The sequence below is a fragment of the Homo sapiens genome, chromosome 1, assembly GCF_000001405.40.
Source record: "Homo sapiens chromosome 1, GRCh38.p14 Primary Assembly".
Lineage (NCBI taxonomy): Eukaryota > Metazoa > Chordata > Mammalia > Primates > Hominidae > Homo > Homo sapiens.
Genome location: NC_000001.11, coordinates 28,169,879 through 28,190,797, shown reverse-complemented (window position 1 = coordinate 28,190,797; position 20,919 = coordinate 28,169,879). Strand labels below are relative to the sequence as shown.

At 47.6% G+C, this 20,919-nt stretch overlaps 1 protein-coding gene across 4 annotated transcripts in view, besides 4 other annotated features; it reads left to right on the top strand.

Moving 5' to 3' along the window:
• Positions 1-20,919, top strand: part of PTAFR (platelet activating factor receptor) — a 46,691-nt gene that overhangs the window by 3,059 nt on the left and 22,713 nt on the right. The window contains exons 1-2 of one of the 4 annotated variants that reach the window (NM_001164723.3): positions 14,108-14,206; positions 18,271-18,341. The exons of 1 other annotated variant lie outside the window; for it this stretch is intronic. The gene's annotated coding sequence lies outside the window, so the exon portion shown is untranslated. Of the gene's footprint in view, positions 1-14,107; positions 14,207-18,270; positions 18,342-20,919 lie in introns of those variants that run through there. 2 more of the 4 variants (NM_001164721.2, NM_000952.5) reach the window with 2 other exon arrangements.
• Positions 19,264-19,313: an enhancer, noted in NCBI's record as "active region_589". NCBI's record gives its function as "activates an Ori minimal core promoter by ATAC-STARR-seq in GM12878 lymphoblastoid cells {active_cell/tissue: GM12878}" and the evidence as "EXISTENCE:reporter gene assay evidence [ECO:0000049][PMID:35858748]".
• Positions 19,324-19,393: an enhancer, noted in NCBI's record as "active region_588". NCBI's record gives its function as "activates an Ori minimal core promoter by ATAC-STARR-seq in GM12878 lymphoblastoid cells {active_cell/tissue: GM12878}" and the evidence as "EXISTENCE:reporter gene assay evidence [ECO:0000049][PMID:35858748]".
• Positions 19,434-19,543: an enhancer, noted in NCBI's record as "active region_587". NCBI's record gives its function as "activates an Ori minimal core promoter by ATAC-STARR-seq in GM12878 lymphoblastoid cells {active_cell/tissue: GM12878}" and the evidence as "EXISTENCE:reporter gene assay evidence [ECO:0000049][PMID:35858748]".
• Positions 19,584-19,633: an enhancer, noted in NCBI's record as "active region_586". NCBI's record gives its function as "activates an Ori minimal core promoter by ATAC-STARR-seq in GM12878 lymphoblastoid cells {active_cell/tissue: GM12878}" and the evidence as "EXISTENCE:reporter gene assay evidence [ECO:0000049][PMID:35858748]".

The following is a 20,919-nucleotide window of genomic DNA, read 5'->3' as shown; positions in this document are numbered from 1 at the left end:
GTGAGGAGGAAGAGAAGATTCAGGGCTGTCCATCCCCAGGAGTCTCCCTGGGAACTTGCTGCCTAAGTTACTTTTGGGCTCTCAGAGACCTCTGGTTTTAGAGCAGTCCCCTTCCTCCCGTGACTCTTTCTCTATTCTGTTATTTTGCACTATTGTCTATCCTTGATATTGTCTATACCACCCCTTCTTAACTACTACGACTTAATGGCAAGCCTGATAGATGATGTGGCATATTCCTGGACTTCTCACTTCCTCATTCTCCAGATTCTCTTTGCCAATCTCAGGCTTATGTATTTATCTTATAGAATACAAGATAAATATAATCTGTAGAATAATATTACAAAACAGTTGTGTATCCACTGCACTGTTAAATATTACAGATGTAATAGAAGCCTCCTGTGTACCCACACTCATTCCACCCCCTCTTTCCCAGAGGTAATCATATCCTGAATTTGTCTTTATATGTGGATGCATGTGTATTGCATTCTCCAGCATAATAATGTGTTAATGTGCTAAGAAATGTTATCTGGCCAGGCATGGTGGCTCACGCCTGTAATCCCAGCACTCTGAGGCCCAGGCAGGCGGATCATCTGAGGTCGGGAGTTTGAGACCAGCGTGACCAACATGGAGAAACCCCGTCTCTACTAAAAATACAAAATTAGCCGGGCGTGGTGGCACATGACCATAATCCTAGCTACTTGGGAGGCCGAGGCAGGAGAATCGCTTGAACCTGGGAGGTGGAGGTTGCAGTGAGCCGAGATTGCACCACTGCACTCCAGCCTGGGCAACGAACAAGAGCAAAACTCCATCTCAAAAAAAATAAATGTTATTTGGCCAGGCATGGTGGCTCATGCCTGTAATCCCAGCACTTTGGGAGACTAAGGCAGGCAGATCACTTGATTCCAGGATTTAGAGAACAGCCTGACCAACATGGTGAAACCCTGTCTCTACAAAATATACAAAAGTTAGCTGGACACAGTGGTGTGCACCTGTAGTCTCTGCTACTCGGGAGGCTGAGGTGGGAGGACGCCTTGAGCCCAGGAGGTGGAGGTTGCAGTGAGCCAAGATCATGCCACTGCACTCCAGCCTGGAGTGCATGAGCTTGTCTCAAAAAGTATAATTTATCCTCTGCAACATGCTTTTTTAGTATCGCATTATGTTTATTTATATTTATTTATTTATTTAAAGACGGAATCTCACTCTGTTGCCCAGGTTGGAGTGCAGGGGCACCATCTCGGCTCACTGCAACCTCCACCTCCTGGGTTCAAGCGATTCTCCTGCCTCAGCCTCATGAGTAGCTGGGACTACAGGCGCGCGCCACCATGCCCGGCTAATTTTTGTATTAAAAAGTAGAGATGGGGTTTTACCATATTGAACAGGCTGGTCTCGAACTCCTGACCTCGTGATCTGCCCGCCTCCGTCTCCCAAAGTGCTGAGATTACAGGCATGAGCAACCATGCCCGGCCGCATTATGTTTATTATCTTTGTTATTATATGCAGCTCTTCTCATTTTAACATATGTACAGGATCGCACTGAAGAATCATACAAATGTCTGTTTCCTTATTTCTGTGTTTAATATTTTTGGTAAATACCTAGGAAGAATGTGCACATTTTCAACTTTATTGTACAACTATTATTTTTTATTATTTTATTTTTCTTTTAATTGGCACAACATCTGGCAAGCATTGATTATGAAATTAACTTCCAAAATAGTAGTGGCAGTTGCACTGTCTTTTGGCAGGGTAATGAGAGTTTCCATCGCTCTGTATCCTCTCCAGTACTTGGAACTGCCAGACTTGAATTTCTTCTATTCAGGTGGGTGGTGATTGTTTTAACTTAGGCTCCTGATTTCCTGAAATGTTGACTATATTTTTATATTTCTCGGTCATTTGGGCTTTTCCTTCTGTGAATTGCCTATTCCTTTATTGACTCATTTTTCTATTGGGTTTTTCTTTTGTTGACTTCTAAAATTTATATTATGCAATGCCTGAAAATTCTTTGTTATATATGTTGCAAATATCTTCTGATTTGTGACTCTTCATCAGTTTTTGGTTTTTGTTTTTTTTTAGATGGAGTTTCACTCTTGTTGCCCAGGCTGGAGTGCAGTGGTGCGATCTCCCGGGTTCCTCCACCTCTAGGATTCAAGGGATTCTCCTGCCTCAGCCTGCTGAATAGCTGGGATTATAGGGGCCTGTCACCCAGCTAATTTTTTGTATTTTTAGTAGAGACGGGGTTTCACCACGTTGGCCGTGCTGGTCTCGAATTCCTGACCTCAGATGATCCTCCTGCCTTGGCCTCCCAAAGTGCTAGGATACAGGCATGAGCCACTGTACCCAGCCTGTTTGTTTTTTGAGACAGAGTCCCCCTCTGTCACCCAGGCTGGCGTGCAGTGGCAAGATCTTGGCTCAGTGCAACCTCTGCCTCTTGGGCTCAAGTGATTCTCATGCCTCAGCCTCCTAAGTAGCTGGGATTACAGGCGTGCACCATCACACCAGGCTAGTTTTTGTATTTTTAGTAGAGACAGCGTCTTGATACGTTGCCCAAGCTGGTCTCGAACTCCTGGGTTCAAGCGATCTGCCAGCTTCATCCTCCCAAAGTGCTGGGGTTACAGGTGTGAGCCACTGCTCCCAGCCATTTTTGTATTTTCAGTAGAGATGAGGTCTTGCTATGTTGCCCAGGCTGGTTTTGAACTGCTGGGCTCAATTGATCCACCTGCCTCAGCCTCCCAAAGTGCTGGGGTTACAGGTGTGAGCCACTGCTCCCGGCCATTTTTGTATTTTCAGTAGAGATGAGGTCTTGCTATGTTGCCCAGGCTGGTTTTGAACCCTGGGCTCAATTGATCGGCCTGCCTCAGCCTCCCAAAGTGCTGGGATTACAGGTGTGAGCCACTGCACCTGGCTTTCATCAGTTTTACAGTGTCTTTTAATGTACAGTTTTCACATTTCTATGGTCAAATTTATCCAGCTTTTCTTTATTATGTGTAATTTCCATGTCTTAATTTAAGAAGTTTTCTTGGCTGGGCATGGTGCCTCACGCCCGTAATCCCAGCTCTTTGGGAGACTGAGGTGGACAGATCGCTTGAGGCCAGGAGTTTGAGAACAGCTTGGGCAACATGGCGAAACCCCACCTTTACAAAAAATACACGGTGCCTCTATTCCTAGCTACTCGGGAGGCTCAAGTGGGAGGATGGCTTGAGCCCAGAGACAGAGGTTGCAGTGAGCCAAGACTGCACCACTTCACTCCAGCTTGGGTGACGAGCGAGACTCTGTCTTAAAAAAAAATTTTTTTTTCTCTCACCCCTAGATCATAAAGATATTCAACTCTATTTTCTTCCAAAATTTTGCATATTTTGCTTTTCGTGGGTTGTTATTCCATTTGGAATTTAATTCTGGATATGAAGTGAGAGATCTAATTTTATTATTTTTTTCCTTAATGGATAGCTAATAACTTGCACTATTAGTGGCTATTAGTAGCTAATATCTACTCTTATTGATCTGTAATGGCAACTCTGTCATATGTGTCAAGTTTCCATAGATGAGCTCTCTATTTATGGGGGTCTCTGTTTTGTTCCTTTGCTCTGTTTATTCCTCCTCACTTCAGTGAGTAGCCCTTTTCTCATCAGTAAACGGAGGATAGTGTGGGTGGAAGAATACCACAGGGAAAAGAGCATGGGTTTTGGAATCACTATGATAATATCACTCTTGAGGGCTGGACGAGGTGGCTCACGCCTGTAATCCCAGAACTTTGGGAGGCCGAGGCGGGCAGATCACTTGAACTCAGGAGTTCAAGACCAGCCTGTGCAACATAGTGAGACCCCCGTTGGTATAAAAGAAAAAAATACCACTCTGTCTTGATTGATTGATTGATTGATTGACATGGAGTCTCCCTCTGTTACCCAGGCTGGAGTGCAATGGCACGATCTCGGCTCACTGCAATCTCTGTCTCCCGGGTTCAGGCGATCCTACTGCCTCAGCCTCTGCAGAAGCAAGGATTACAGGCGTGTGCCACCACCCCGGGTTAATTTTTGTATTTTTATTAGAGATGGGTTTTCACCATGTTGCCCAGGCTGATCTTGAACTCCCGACCTCAGGCGACCCGCCTGCCTCAGCCTACCAAAAATGCTGAGATTACAGGTGTGTGCCACTACGCCCAGCACCACTCTGTCTTAATACTGTGACTTTAAAGTAAGACTTGACATGTGATATGAAAAGTCTTTTCAGGTATCCTTGTTGTTCATATATATGCCCTTGTTCTTCAAAAATTTCTCAGCTACTCTTGGCGCTTTGCTTTTTCATTTCGAATTTTAGGATTAGCCTATAAATTTTCTGGGAAAACTATTGGGATTTTGATTGTACTGGTTCTGAATTTATAGATTAAATTGGAAAGAATTTGTATTTTGATTATATTGACAGTCTCATGCATGAATATAGTACATCTACCCATTTATTTAATTCTTGTTTTTTTTTTAAATAACTTTTGTAATTTCCTTCATGAAGATCTTGCACATTTTGGGGCCGGGCACAGTGGCTCACGCCTGTAATCCCAGCACTTTGGGAGGCCGAGGAAGGCGGATCACCTGAGGTCAGGAGTTCGAGACCAGCCTGACCAACATGGTGAAACCCTGTCTCTACTAAACAAAACAAAACAAAAAAATTAGCCGAGCATGTGGTGTGCACCTGTAGTCCCAGCTACTGGGGAGGCTGGGGTGGGAGAATTGCTTGAACCCAGGAGGCGGAGGTTGCAGTGAGCTGAGATGGCGCCACTGCACTCCAGCATGGGTGACAGGATAAGACTCCATCTCAAAGATCTTGCATATCTTTGGCCAAAAGAAGAAAAAACAAAAAAAAAGCCAAAATAGTTTTCTTGCTGTTATAAGTTGTGTCTTCTTAATAATGTCATTTTCTATTTAATTGCTTGTTTATAGGAGCATGATTGCTTTTTACATGTTGGTTTTATATCCAGAAATCTTGTTTAGGTGCTGTTTTGGTTCTAATAATTTTTCTATGGAATTGCTGCAATTTTCCTATGTAAATAGTCATACTATCTGCGAAGATGACAGTTTTGCTTTTCCTTCCCAATCTTCGTAACCTTTTTTTCCTTTGGTCTGATAGTCTTTACAACAGAATAAGGTTGTGATTATTCCTATATGATTATTCCCATTTGCAAATTAGAAAACAGGCTTGAAGAGGTAATTTGGCTTTTTCAAGTTCACACAGAAAGCAGATGGCATCAAGATTTGAACTCAAGTCTCTTTGATTCTAAAACCCATGCCCTTTTCCCTATGGTATTCTTTCACCCCCATTATCCTCCATTTGCTGATGAGAAAAGCGATACTCACAGCAAGGAAATGTCCACAACACTCTTGGCAAAGGACAAGTTTTGAGAGCAGAAAGAACTGAACAACCCCTTTATAATAGTTGTGCAGGACTGCCCTAGTTTAGTGTATCTGGATCCTAATTCCAGCTCTGTTACCTACCAGCTATGTTACTTGGATAAATCACTTCCTCTCTCTAATGTCATTCATTCATTCAATAAGCTTTATCCAGCACCTGCAATGTGCCAGGCAATGTTCCAGATCTTGGCAATAAACTCAAGGAGATTACAGTTTAGCTGGGGAGAAGATAATGAGCAAAGTAAATAAATAAATAAAATACATGTTGTATTAGATGTGATATGTGCTGTGGAGAAAAGGAAAGCAGGATGAGAGCCTGGGAATGTGGGGGGATGGCTGCAACTTATTAGGGTGGTCAGGAAAGGCCCCACTGAGAAAGTGGCTTTTGAGGAAAGACCTAACTTTGAGTGTCTGAGGAAGGGTGGTCCAGGCAGAGAGAACAACAGGTGCAAAAGGGTGAGGTGAGGCCGGGCATGGTGGCTTACGCCTGTAATCCCGGCACTTTGAAAGGCCGAGGTAGGTGGATCACTTGAGGTCATGAGTTCGAGACCAGCCTGGCCAACATGGTGAAACCCCATCTCTACTAAAAATACAAAAATTAGCTAGGTGTGGTGGTGCACGCCTGTAATGCCAGCTACTTGAGAGGCTGAGGAAGGAGAATCGCTGGAACTCAGGAAGAGGAGGTTGCAGTGAGCTGAGATTGCACTACTGAACTCCAGCCTGGGCAACAGAGGGAGACTCTGTCTCAAAAACAAACAAAAAAACAAAAGGAAAAACAAAAGGGTGAGGTGAGAGTGTGTTGAAGAAGGGCAGGAAGAACAGAACGACTACAGTGGAGGGAGCGAGATGTAGGAGATGAGGTGAGGTCTTACAGGGTCTTGAGGGTGCTTTAAAGGACTTTGACTTCTCCTGTACGTGAGATGGAAGGCCCTGGGGGGCTTTGAGCAGAGGAGTGATGTGATGTGACTGATGTTTAATAGTTCAACCGCGTTGCTGTATTAAGAACAGACTAGGCCGGGTACGGTGGCTCACACCTGTAATCCCAGCACTTTGGGAGGCCAAGGTGGGCGGATCACGTGAGGTCAGGTGTTCAAGACCAGCCTGGCCAACATGGTGAAAACCCGTCTCTACTAAAAATACAAAAATCAGTTGGGCGTGGTGGTGCACACCTGTAATTGTAGCTACTTGGGAGGCTGATGCAGGAGAATTGCTTGAACCTGGGAGGCGGAGGTTGGAGTGAGCTGAGATCACGCTACTGCACTCCAGCCTGGGTGACAGAATGAGACTCCAGCTCAAAAAAAAAAAAAAAAAAAAAAAAAAAACAGACTAATGGGGACGTGAGTATGGAAGCAGGGAGACGAGGGAGGAGGCTGCAATCCAGCGGGGAGGTGGAGGGACTTGGACCAGGGCTATAGCAGTGGAGGTGGTGAGAAGTGGCAAGATTTTGGATCTATCATCTATCTATCTATCTATCCATCCATCATTTAAAGTTTTTTTTGTTTTGTTTTGTTTTGAGATGGAGTCTTGCTCTGTTGCCCAGGCTGGAGTGGAGTGCAGTGGGGTGATCTTGGCTCACTGCAACCTCTGCCTCCCGGGTTCAAGTGATTCTTCTGCCTCTGCCTCTTGAGTAGCTGGGATTAACAGGCATGTGCCACCACGCCCGGCTAATTTTTGTATTTTTAGTAGAGACGGGGTTTCACTAGAGGGCAAAAGAGCCTCTGGTTGAGAACCACTGATACAGTAAAATTCCTACCTATTACACACACACATATTTTGAAGAGAAGATATCACTCTGTTACCCAGGCTGGAGTGGCAGTGGTGTAGTCACGGCTCACTGCACCCTCAACCTGCTGGGCTCGAGTGATCCTCCCACCTTAGCTTCCTGAGTAGCTAGGACTACAGGCATGCACTGCCATGTCCAGCTAATTTTTTCTGTATTTCTTGTAGAGATGTGGTTTTATAGGCGTGAGACACTGTGCCCAGCCTTACTTATAATATTTAATTTATTCTTTTAATTACTTATATACTTAAATATTGTGGGCAATAGCTCGTTATTTTATAAATATTTCTTTTTTGCACTCAAATTTCATGAAACAAATGTATAAGCATCTTTTACGCCAGCATCTTCATTGTTGTTGGAGCCCCTTTTCTGTCATTTAACAGAGCTTTCTAGGCTGCATACTTTTCACTTCCGTCTCCATTGAATGAGATACAGCACTTAACATCCCAATAAGATGCTATCACAGGAAAATTATATCCCAAGACACAATTATCCACTACATAACATTGGGACAGTTTTCTTTTTCACTGCTGTTCTGATCTCAAAAGCTCAACAAGTATTGCTTTAAAAAACAAACACAAAATTGAATTTCTTTAAAAAACAAACAGCAAAAAACCCTTTCTTAATTATAAAAAATTGAAAACCACCGGGCCTGGTGGCTCGCACCTGTAATCCCAGCACTTTGGGAGGCTGAGGTGGGTGGATCACTTGAGGTCAGGAGTTCGAGACTAGCCTGGCCAACATGGTGAAACCCCATCTCTACTACAAATACAAAAATTAGCCAGGGATGGTGGCAGGTGCCTGTAATCCCAGCTACTTGGGACATTGAGGCAGGAGACTCACTTGAAAGCGGGAGGCGGAGGTTGCAGGGAGCCGAGATCGTGCCGTTGCGCTCCAGCCTGGGTGACAAAAGTGAGACTCCGTCTCAAAAAGAACAGAAAACATGTGCAACAGTACATTTAAAGGTATAATGGATCCTCATGTACCCTTAGCCAGCTTCAACAATTATCAGCACACTTTTTTTTTTTTTAAGAGACAGGGTCTCACTCTGCCATGTAGGCTGGAGTGCAGTGGCATGATCATGGCTCACTGCAGCGAATTTTAAAAAGTTTTTGTAAAGATGGAGTCTGGCTATGTTGTCCAGGCTGGTCTCAAACTCCTGTCCTCAAGTGAGGACCACCTGGACCTCCCAAAGTGCTGGGATTATAGGTATAAGCCACCATGCCTGGCAATGCTCAATTTCCCTCCCTCCCTCCCTTCCTTCCTTTTCTCTCTCTCTCTTTCTTTTTTTGACAGAGTCTCACTCTGTCACTCAGACTGCAGTGCAGTGGTGCAATCTTGGCTCACTGAAATCTCTGCCTCCCAGGTTCAAGCGATTCTCCTGCCTCACCCTCCTGAGTAGTTGGAATTACAGGCATGTGCCACTATGCCAAGCTAATTTTAGTATTCTTAGTACAGACGGGGTTTCACCATGTTGGCCAGGCTGGTCTCGAACTCCTGACTTCAAGTGATCCACCCACCTCGGCCTCCCAAAGTGCTGGGATTACAGGCATGAGCCACTGCGCCTGGCCCAATTTCTTTCTTTTTTTTCCCTTTTGTTTGAATCAGGATCCGAGAAGATTCATGTAGCAATTGGTTGCTATGTCTCTTAATTCTCTTTATTTAAGTAGTTAATTTATTTAGAGGTGAGTTCTCACTGTGTTGCCCAGGCTGGTCTCAAACTCCTGTGTCAAGTGATCCTCTCACTTCGGCCTCTCAAGGTGCTGGGATTATAGGCATGAGCTCCTATGCTTGACCTCTTAATTATCTTTTAATCAATAGTTTCTCCCTATATCTTTTTTTCTTGTTTAGAATTTATTTATTTATTTATTTTTATTTTTTTGAGATGGAGTTTCGCTCTTGTTGCCCAGGCTGGAGTGCAATGGTGCAATCTCGGCTCACCGCAACCTCCGCCTCCCAGGTTCAAGCAATTCTCCTGCCTCAGCCTCCCGAGTAGCTGAGATTACAGGCATGCACCACTATGCCCGGCAATTTTGTATTTTTAATAGAGACGGGGTTTCTCCATGTTGAGGCTGGTCTTGAACTGCTGACCTCAGGTGATCCGCCCGCCTCAGCCTCCCAAAGTACTGAGATTACAGGCGTGAGCCACCGCGCCCGGCTAGAATTTATTTATTGAAGAAAGCAGGTTGTGTGTTCCATATGTTTCTTATCATGTGCGTTTGTTGAGTGCATCCCTATGATCTGTTTCCTTCTGTAACAGGAGTAAACTAGTGATTAAACTTGCTGATTCTGTTTCGGTTTCCTTGGCAAGACTGTTTTATAGGTGGTGTTGTGAATTGTACGTGCTCAAACACAACTTCATAGAAAAGTTTTCAAACATACACAAAAAGAGAAGGAAGAGTACAAGAAATCCTTGTGGTAGTTTCCTGTGGCTGCTATAAGAAGTTACCACAAACTTAGTGGTTTCAAATAACACACGACCGGGCGTGGTGCTCACACCTGTAATCCCAGCACTTTGGAAGGCGGAGGAGGGCGGATTGCTTCAGGTCAGGGGTTTGAGATCAGCCTGGACAACACAGTGAGACTGAGATCGCGCCACTGCACTCCAACTTGGGAGACAGAGTGAGACTCCATCTCAAAAAAATAAATAAATAAAAATCAATCAATCAATAAAATAAATATTTTGCCACATTTTCTATTTCTCCCCTCTCTCCCTTCATTCCTCTTCCTTTCTTTTTTCTTCATACTCTGTATCCATCCTTCTTTATTTCTTCTCTTTTTCTTTACTTTCTCTCTCCTTCCTTTCTTCTTATTTTGCTGTAATATTTTAAAGCAAATTCCACATATATGGACATTTTGTTTATAACTGCAACACCATTATCTCTTAATGCTATTATCAATAATTCCTTAGAATTATCTAAAATCCTGTCCATATACCAGTTTCTGTGATTTTCTCAGGTATGTCTGTCCTGGATATCTTCTGCTTTCTCCTCCAGACCCACTGTGGGATTGGTGATGCATGCCCAGAGTACACTCCACCCTTCTTCACCCACCTCTTGCCCCGGAGGCTGCCCTGTATGGACCACATTAATGGTTCCTTTGTTTCTGGTTGGGGTCAGCCAACTGGCGGTGCCGATAAGATGTCAGAGGATGGGAGAAGAGAAAGGTTTGAGTATTTATTTCCTGGTTCCCTCCCTGCCTGTTGCAGGCTCAGCTGCAACTTCTTTTTTATATATATATATTTTGAGACAGAGTCTTGCTCTGTCGCCCAGGGTGGAGAGCAGTGGCTTGATCTTGGCTCACTGCAACCTCTGCCTCCCGGGTTCAGGCAATTCTCCTGCCTCAGCCTCCCGGGTAGTTGGGATTACAGGCGTGAGCCACCATGTCCATCCTCTTAAATCTCTTTTAATCTGGAACAATCTCCTCCCTGTTTCTTTTGTGCTTTTATTTCATTTTATTTTTAACTTTTGTTTTGTTTTGTAGAGACAGGGTCTCCCTGTTTTGCCCAGGTTGGTCTCAAACTCCTGGGCTCAGGGGATCCTTCCGCCTCAGCTTCCCAAAGTGTTGGGATTACAGGCATGAGCCACTGAGCCTGGCCCTCTGTTTGTTTTTGTGTTCAAGCGGTTGATTTCTGGAGAGAACTGGCTCCATTGTCCAGTAGAATGTTCTATATTTTGGAATTGGTTGATTGCTTCCTTATGAGGTCCTTTAATTTATTCCTCTGTCCCCTATATTTTCTGAAAACTGAGGTTAGACCTAAAGGCTTGATTAGATTCAAATTTGGACATATTTTCTTTTTTTTTTTCCACCCAGGCTGGAGTGCAGTGGCACCATCTTGGCTCACTGCAACCTCCGCCTCCTGGGTTCAAGCAATTCTCATGCCTCAACCTCCCAAGCCACTGGGATTACCAGCGGTAATCAGCAGGTGTGTGCCACCATGCCTGGCTCTTTTTTTAATTATTATTATTTTTAGTAGAGACAGGGTTTCACCGTATTGGCCAGGCTGGTCTTGAATTCCTGACCTCAAGTGATCTGCCCGCCTCAGCATCCCAAAGTGCTGGGATTACAGGCGTGAGTCACTGTGCCCGGCCAAATCTGGACATATTTTCAAGTGGAGCCAACATAATTTGCTAACAGAATGGATGTGGGGTGTGAGAGAAAGAGTTGAACTCAGTTTCCTCATTTGTAAAATATTGATAGTAATATCTACCTACCTACCCTGCTTATTGATAATCTCAAAAGAGGTGCTGATCTGCAGTTGCCACATGCGCGCATGGAAGGGACTATACTGGAAGGCAGGCCGAGCCAACAGTTCCGGACCTTGAGCCAGGCGTCCTGGAGACTCTGGGCAATGGAGGCTGGTTGATCCCGGAGGTCCCTCCCAGGCTTGCTGTCCCTCCTGGAGGGTGGTGGCTGGAGGAGGGCTGAGGTGAAACTGTTTTGGAACCAAGGATCTGGGCTGGGGAGCAGAGTTGAGGCCTTGCCTTTTAGGTGAGCAGTTTGCATGAAGGCTAAGTTCATGTACAGACCATGTCCTCATATTTCAGGGCACTCGAGGCTCAAAAAGCCTGTAAGGGAGACAAGAAGAAATGATCAAACTGAGCCTGTTTCTTTTCTTTTTTTTTTGTTTTAAATATGAAGATGGGGTCTCACTATATTGCCCAGGCTGGTCTCGAACTCCTGGGCTCAGCAATCCTCCTGCCTTGGTCTCCCAAAGTGCTTGGCCTGAGCCTGTTTCAGTGTCCCTGGCAGGACATGGGGATTGGGAGAGTGTGTGCGGTGCGTGAGTGTGGAGCAGTATGGACGCATGAACTCGAGGAAGGAGATGAGCCTGGCAGGTGTGAGTGAGGGGAGACTGGGCGTGAGTGTGCAGGTGAGTGGAGGAACACAGTGTGAGTGGGCATCTTCGCATGAGAGTAGGCGCTGAGTGTATGCGAGTGTGCAAGTGTTATGTGGTCTGAGTGTGTCTGCCTGTGTGTGATGGGGGGCTGGAGGTGGAGGAGGGGGCAGATGCTTGGCTCTAGTTCTACATGACTGAGGCAAATGTTAAAAGTGGTTTGTTCTGGCCAGGCGCGGTGGGTCATGCCTGTAATCCTGGCACTTTGGGAGGCTGAGGTGGGCAGATCATTGGAGGTCAGGAGTTCAAAACCAGCCTGGCTAACATGGTGAAACCCCGTCTCTACTAAAAAGACAAAAATTAGCCGGGCGTGGCAGTGCTTGCCTGTAATCTCAGCTACTCCAGAGGCTGAGGCAGGAGAATCCCTTGAAAGTGGGAGGCAGAGGTTGCAGTGAGCTGAGATTGCATCACTGCACTCCAGCCTGGGAGACAGAGTGAGACTCTGTCTCAAAAAAAATAAAAAATAAAAAAATAAAAAAAGTGTTTTGTCCTTTGAGAGCCATTTTTGGCTTTGATAAGGGACATTAGGAGGAGGAGCCTGGCCCAGATACCCAGAGCGGAGCTGAGACTGGATGCTGATGCAGGCCCCCGACTCTCCTTATACCTGCCTTGCTGTGGGACCCTGGTCCTGTCGGGACCTCAGTTTCCCTCTCTGTGTAGGAGGTTGTTGGGTCGGCTGATGTATCTGAGGGACTTGCTTCTTTAGACAGGGTCCACCCCAGTGCCTGGTGCCTGGGGGTGCTCAGATGGTGCTTGTTGGTTGGTTGAAGGAATGAGTGGGTAAATGGACTGGAAACTGAGGCAGATACTCTGGCTCACCTCTCACTTATGCACACGGGATGCCCCCACCAGCTCACTTTCACACATACCCTCACACCTACACTCAGAGATTCATGTGCATTCACCATCGATTGTCCACCCCTCTTCACCTGCATGCTCCCATGAACTCATACGCTGCCAACCCACACCAGCCTGGGTGAAAAAAAAAAAGAAGAAAGTATGTCCAAATTTGAATCTAATCAAACCTGTTTTCAGAAAATACAGGAGACAGAGGAATAGATTAAAGGACCTCACAAGGAAGCAATCAACCAAGTCCAGAATATAGAACATTCTACTGGACAATGGAGCCAGTTCTCTCCAGAAATCAACCGCATGAACAAAAAAACAAACACAGGGCCAGGCTCAGTGGCTCATGCCTGTAATCCCAACACTTTGGGAAGCTGAGGCGGAAGGATCCCTTGAGCCCAGGAGTTTGAGACCAACCTAGGCAAAACAGGGAGACCCTATCTCTACAAAACACGGTCTCAGGGAGCTTCCACCTCCACCCCCACAGATCTGTTCCCATGGGGTTTCTGGGCTCAATGTTTCTTGGTCTCCAGGGAGGCCCTGCCCTGTCATGCCCCTGACCACAGTGGCTCTTCCGAGCTCCTCTCTTCTCCCTCCACTTTATATCCCAGCGGGCATTCTCTTTCCTCCACTCCCCTTCTTTTATTTTCTCTCTCACCCCCATCCAGAGACGCACAGACCCAAATGTGCACAGGCACATGCTCGCTGTCTGTGTCTTGTCATCTCGTCTTTTGTCTTGGATCTTACCTTGTCTTTGTCCCTGAATCTCCTTGTTCCTCTCATCTCTCCCGGTGTTTACATCTGTCTTTTTCCCTGAGCCTCGCTCCCTCCATCCATTCCTCCGCCCTCTCATTTTTTTTCCCGACTCCCTCCTGCCTCCTCCCTTTCTCCTTTGATTTTCCTGGTCCCTCATCTCTCCTCCCTCCTCTTTCTCACTCTCATGCTCCCTTTTTCGCTCTCTTGAGTACATGCACTTGCTTTCTCTCTCTTGCTTTTCCTCTTTCTCACCTTAGCTCCTGGCCTCGGGCGCTGTCTACACCCCACCCCATCCCTCGCTCTTTGAGAAGCCTCTGTGCAGTGCCCAGGTCCTGGCGGCCCAGCTTGGAAGTTCCTGTGGTACCCCTTGAGAGGCCCTAGGGCCACAGCATTTCCTCCCAGGGGTGACTTGGTAGTGATACGCTCTGTTTCTTCACTTCTGCAATTGCCAGACAGCATAGAGGCTGAGGCTGGGGCCAGGACCCAGACAGAGACACACGGTCACTGCAGCTGAAGCCGCTGCCCCTGCTACAGGTAAGGGGGAATCCTGGCCCCTGCTGGGCAAGGGGGAGGCATATAAAAATGTCCTCAGGAGGCAAACCAAGGTCATGCCCCCAGGCTGCACCTAAGCAGATGGGTGCTTCTATTTCTTTTCTTTTCTTTTTTTTTTTTTTTTTTTTTGAGACAGGGTCTCTCACTCTGTTGTCCAGGCAGAAGTGCAGTGGCGCGATCATGGCTCGCTGCAGCCTGGACCTGCCAGGCTCAGGTGATCCTCCCACTTCAGCCTCCCGAGTATCTGGGACTAGAGGCATGCTCTACCACGCCTGGCTAATTTTTGTATTTTTTGTGGAGACGAGGTCTTGCCTTGTTGCCCAGACTGGTCTCTAACTCCTGGGCTCAAGCAATCAGCCTGCCTCGGCCTCCCAAAGTGCTGGGATTGCAGGCTTGAGTCACTGTGCTCGGCTGCTTCTGTTTTTAAGGGATTTTTCTGGCACCTTTCTCAGGCCCAGAGTCTCATGTTTAGAAATAACTTCTAGTGTCCAAACATTCCTGGAGAACCCAACACCCAAGTTTGGCTTTTCTGAGGCTGGGGCAGTGCTGACCCCAGAGATCCCACTGGGAGGTGTTGATGGTGGTGATGGTGGCAGTGCTGACCCCAGAGACCCTACTGGGAGGTGGTGATGGTGGTGATGGGGGCAGCTTGGATCTCAGGGAGCCAAATGACATCTACTTGACTAGCTGTGTGGTCTTGGCCAAGTTACGCTCCATCTCTGTGCAGTTTTCTAAATTGTCAAATAATGATAATCCCATCTCCCCCACAGAATTGTCGGGTCATATAAAGGATCTGGTACAGGGCGGGGTACTTAGGAACTCACTAAATGCTAGGTTTGCGGGGTGGGGAAGGGGGTGCTGAAAATAACCAGGTTCTTATACACAGGGCCAAGCCCACAAACAATAGCCCCTATCAGGTCCCAGGTGCTGGGGACAGGGCCCAGGCTGGCACCCACCGTCCTCTGCTTGCAGGAGGTCCAGACATGGGGCTGTGCACTCACTCACTTGTGAAATATGACAGAACCAGCAGGCTCTCTCCCCACACCTCTGGCTGCTCTCCTTTAGCTCTGACTGAATACCCAGCTGTGTTCCAGGTGTTTGGGGTGGTGTGTGTGTTGGGGGAGGCGGTAGGGGTGGGAGGTGTGTTGGGGAGTGCTAGAGAAGCAAAAGAGACACCACTATCTTTAGGTGCTGACAAACCGCCGGAGAAAGAGTTCAGCCCCTTAGATGACTGGGTCCTGGGCCTCAGGTGGGCATCCGGGGTTTCGATCTCAGCTCCTGCTGACAAGCCGGGGCCTTGAGTTGTTCGGAAGTTCCACTTTCCTCCTTTGCAGATTGCAGGTTAAAATACTGACCTCTGTGGGCCGGGCATGGTGGCTCACGTCTGTAATCCCAGCACTTTAGGAGGCCGAGGCGGGTAGATCACGAGGTCAAGAGATGGAGACCATCCTGGCGAACATGGTGAAACCCCATCTCTACTAAAAATACAAAAATTAGCTGGGCGTGGTGGCGGGTGCTACTCGGGAGGCTGAGGCAGGAGAATTGCTTGAACCTGGGAGGCGGAGGTTGCAGTGAGCTGAGATGGCGCCATCGCACTCCAGCCTGGGCAACAGAGCGAGACTCCGTCTCAAAAAACAAAACAAAACAAAACAAACAAACCACTGATCTGTGAGTTTGCAGGGAGGATGAAGTAAGAGTTGGGATGGGGAAGTGCTTTGTCAATTGGAAAATGCTGCGCAAAGGGGACTGATGAATTCCCTCTAATGCTGACTCTGGGATTCCTGCTGTTAAACGCCTTAGGGATGAGGAAACTGTTTTGTTCACTGTTGTATCCTTTATCCTTAGCACAGGGTTTGCAACATAGCATATGCTTAGAATATGCACAGGACAGATGAATGATGAAGCGGTTTTTGCAGTTGGAAGGGAACGGACGGTGAGCCAGAGGCCCAGTATCTGGTCCCAGCTCTGCCCCTGACACTGTGTTCACCTTGGGAAAATCCTTTCTCATCTCCGGGCCTCAGTTTCCCCATCTGGTCATTGAAGGAGTAAGGAATTCACAGTTTATGCTATCAGTGACAAAATGTGCCTACAGGACTGAGTTTTCTCTGACTGGTGGTGGGAAGCAGGTATGAGGAGAGGCTGGGATCTTATTGTCCTTTTACAGGGAGCAGAGATTCCCCACTTCCCACCCCAGGCCTGTGAAGGAGGCCTTGTTGAAGAGGATGGCATTCTCTTTCTTGGTGGCATCCCCCACTTTCCTGTTCTGATCCCCTAGATGGGTGGAGGCTTGGACCTCAGAGAGGGCAACAGTGGAGCAGGAGCCGGCAGCACCCCTTGATGGGCCTAGGGGTGTGTGTCTGGGTCGGGAGCAGAGCCAGCTCCCAAAGGGCAAGTGCTGGGACCCTGCTGCAGCCCCCTCTCTGACCACCCCCTCTTGGGCTCCTTGACAGCATGATGAGAGCGGGGAGAAGCCTCTGGTGTGTCTTTGTGTGTGCATGTGTGTCTGTGGTTATGTGGGGTGGACAGGGAGCTGGCTCTGGCTATGTCTACATGTATCTGGAATGATGGGCCGGGAGCATATCCGGGCTGCATGTGGCCTGCTCCAGCCAGACAGCTCCCCTCCCAGGAGCAGATGGCCAGCAAAGCCAGCTGAGAGGCTGATATGCCTCTGTGTGTCTTTGGCCGAGGGGAATCACAGCCAGATTCTGTGTGTGTATTTGTTTGTGTGTTTGTGTGTGAGAGAGAGACAGAATATGCAGGGGGAGGATCACCACTCAGCCACCCCTCCCCACCCCCTTGGTTCTGTAGGTGGGAGATCTTCAGGGCCTGGGTTTGGAGTTGAGCTTGGCTGGCTAATGGGAGAAGCATGTCAAAACCAAATTTGTGCATACCCCGCCCCCCCTCCTCTTTTTTTTTTTCTTTTGAGACAGAGTCTTGCTCTGTCACGCAGGCTGGAATGCAGTGGCGTGATCACACCTCACTGCAGCCTCGATCTCCTGGGCTCAAGCAGTCCTCCCACCTCAGTCTCTCGAGTAGCTGATACTGTAGGTGCACACCATCTTGCCTGATTAATTTTTGTGTTTTTGTTTTTGTTTTTGTTTTTGTTTTGTTTTGTTTGTTTGTTTGTTTTTTGTAGAGGTGGGGTTTGACATGATGCCCAGGCTAGTCTTGAACTCCCGTGCTCAAGCAATCCGCCTGCCTTGGCCTCCCAAAGTGCTGGGATTACAGATGTGAGCCACCATGCCTGGCCTACACCCCCCGCACACCCCCCCCCCTTTTTTTTTAAGAGACACAGTCTTGCTCTGTCACCCAGGCTGAAGAGCAGTGGCATGATCGTGACTCACTGCAGCCTTGAACTCCTGGTCTCAAGCTATCCTCCAGCTTTAGCCACCCAAGTAGCCAGGACTACAGGCGCATGCCACCATGCCTGGCTAATTTAAAAAACTTTTTTTTTTTTTTTTTTTTTTTGTGGAAACGGGATCTTGCTATGTTTCCCAGGCTGGTCTTGAACTTCTGGCCTCAAGCCATCTCCTGCCTTGGCTTCCCAAAGCGCTGGGATTACAGGCGTGAGCCACTGCACCCAGCCTGCACTACCTTTCACAGTTCATAAAGTCCATTTCAATGTACCAAGTGCTTTACTGTTTACCCAAAACTGTCACCACCAATAATCTCACTTCCTTTTTTTTTTACAACAATGCTTTGAGATAAGCGAGGCACAGGCACCGCATTTTGCAGATAAAAACCCCAAGGCTCAGAGCTGGAATGAGGCTCAGTCAAGATATGTGGGTGAGTGGCACAGCTGAGGCCAGAGCCCACATCTCCTGGTTTCGGTTCCTATGCTTTCTCTCCGGCTAACCCCGGTTGCTTCTAGGAGAGAATGTGTAGCTGGCTTAGTGCATGGCCAGTTTGGTTGCTTCTTTATTCACTTATTCAACAAACATTTTCTGAGGACAGCAGGGAAGGGAGTTCACAGTTATTGAGTAAATTGCTTCACTCAGCTCTCACAACCACCCCGTGAGGAAGGTTTTATTACCATCATTTTGCAGATGAAGAAAAGGAGGCTGGGAGAGCCAAGGATCACGCAGCAAGGAAGAAACAGACCCAGGTGCAGACTCAGGTCTGTGTGACGCCAGGGCCTGTGCCCAGCCCTGCTTTTTTCCCTGGACGGGGTCCTGGACTGGCCACGAGGACACCAGCAGGACTCAGGAACTCCCAGGCTGGGAAGATGTCAGCGTGATTCCTGGTATAACAGAGGCATGGCTGTGTGCGGTGGCTCATGCCTGTAATCCCAGCACTTTGGGATGTTGAGGTGGGTGGATCACCTGAGATCAGGAGTTTGAGACCAGCCTGGCCAGCATGGTGAAAACCTGTCTCTACTAAAAATATAAAAATTAGCCAGGCATGGTGGCATGCGCTTGTAATCCCAGCTACTTGGAAGGCTGACACATGAGGATCGCTTGAACCTGGGAGGCGGAGGTTGCAGTAAGCTGAGATTGCATCATTGCACTCCAGCCTAGGTGATAGACTGAGATTCAGTCTCAACCCCCCACCCCCGCAACACACACACAAAAACCAGAGGCATAACAGAGGCATGATGTGCCCAGTGCTGGGGCAGCCCAGAGGAGATGGTTCCTCCCTCCCTCTTCCTGGCCCTGTCCTGGAAGCAAAATTGGATAGGGTAACTCACAAACAGATACCACCTGGGTATCTGGGAGCCAGGAGGAGAGACCCAGGCCAGACTTGGGGTTTCCTAGGCCAACTGAGCAGAGGCTGAGTCTCCTCAATGTAATATACATATCTGGGGCCAGGATGAGGTCCCCAATGAGAAGGAACACTGGGTAACTCTGACTGGTACCCAGATCATCCTCATCCCTCGTGCCCTAGACCCTGTCCGTAACCTCTCCCAGACATGGTGCTTCATTCATCAGCCAATAAATGTGCATGGTCCCTTGCGCTGGGAATTGTAGGGAGCCTGGCACAGAATTCCCCAGAGGTCAGGATTTCTCCTCCCTTAATTCGTCGCTCAAATCCTTCTGCATCTTGGAGAAATGGTATTGAAACCACTCTGTGAGAGGTAACATTAGAGGGTGTGGTCGGCACGGCCAGGTCAGGGCACAAATATCAAGCAACAGGGCATGTCAGAACAGGAAGTAACTCATGTATTGAGTACCTTCTATATGCCTAGCACTGTAGAGGTTGTCTGTCTTCAACATCAGGGCTATCCTGTGAGGTCAAGTTTTTTTTTTTTTTTGAGATGGAGTCTCGGTCTGTCACCCAGGCTGGAGTGCAGTGGCACAATCTCAGTTCACTGAAACTTCCCCCTCCCGGGTTCAAGTGGTTCTTCTGCCTCAGCCTCCCATGTAGCTGGGATTACAGATGTGCGCCACCACACCCAGCTAATTTTTGTATTTTTAGTAGATATGGGGTTTCGTCATGTTGGCCAGGCCAGTCTTGAACTCCTGACCTCAGGTGATCTGCCTGCCTCGGCCTCCCAGAGTGCTGGGATTACAGGTGTGAGCCACCCCACCCAGCCTAATTTGTATTAATTATTTATTTATTATTTTTATTTATTTTTTGAGATGGAGTCTCGCTGTTGCCCAGGCTGGAGTGCAGTGGCACAATCTTGGCTCACTGCAGACTCTGCACCCCGGGTTCACGCCATTCTCCTGCCTCAGCCTCCCGAATAGCTGGGACTACAGGCGCCCACCACCTTGCCCAGCTAATTTTTTGTATTTTTAGTAGAGACAGGGTTTTACCGTGTTAGCCAGGATGGTCTCGATCTCCTGATCTTGTGATCCGCCCGCCTTGGCCTCCCAAAGTGCTGGGATTACAGGCGTGAGCCACCGCGCCGGGCCCTTATTTTTATTTTTAAGAGATAGGGTCTTGCTCTGTTGCCCAGGCTGGAGTGCAGTGGTATGATCATAGCTTACTGTAATGGACCCAAGTGATCCTGCAGCCTCAGCCTCCATAGTAGCTAGGACTGCAGGCATGTGCCACCATGCCTGGCTAATTTTTTTTTTAATTTTTAATTTTGTAGAGACAAAATTTGGTTATGTTGCTCAGGCTGGTCTTAAACTCCTGACCTCAAGCAATTCTCTTACCTCAGCCTCTCAAAGTGCTGGCATTATAGATGTGGGCCACCTTTCCAGCCTCAATGTTGATGCTATTCCCATTTTATAGATGAGGAAAGTGGGACTGGCCCCAGCGAATCTAAGAGCTGGGAGTGGCTAGAGCTGGGGTGTGAGAGTTTGGAAGCGAAGAGTGAGGGACACTGTGACTGTGTGTGTACAGAGGCTCACCTGTCTATTTAGTCAGTATTTCTCATGTGTTTGCTATGTAGGAGGCCCTGTGATGGGTATTGGTGATATGCCAGAAGCCTTGGCCCTTGGGAATTCCCAGTCCAAAAGGAGAGAGAAATCAACAGCTATGATAATGCAATGTGATAGATTGTTATGGGAACTTGAGGTGGAATTTCCAACTCTGTCTGGGGTAGGGAAGTAAGAGTAACAATAGCCAACATTCAATGAGCTCTCACTGTAGACCAGACCAGGCATCTTCTTTTTTTTTTTTTTTTGAGATGGAGTCTCGCTCTGTCGCCCAGACTCCAGTGCAATGGCGTCATCTTGGCTCACTGCAATCTCTGCCTCCTGGGTTCAAGTGATTCCCCTGCCTCGGCCTCCCGAGTAGCTGGGATT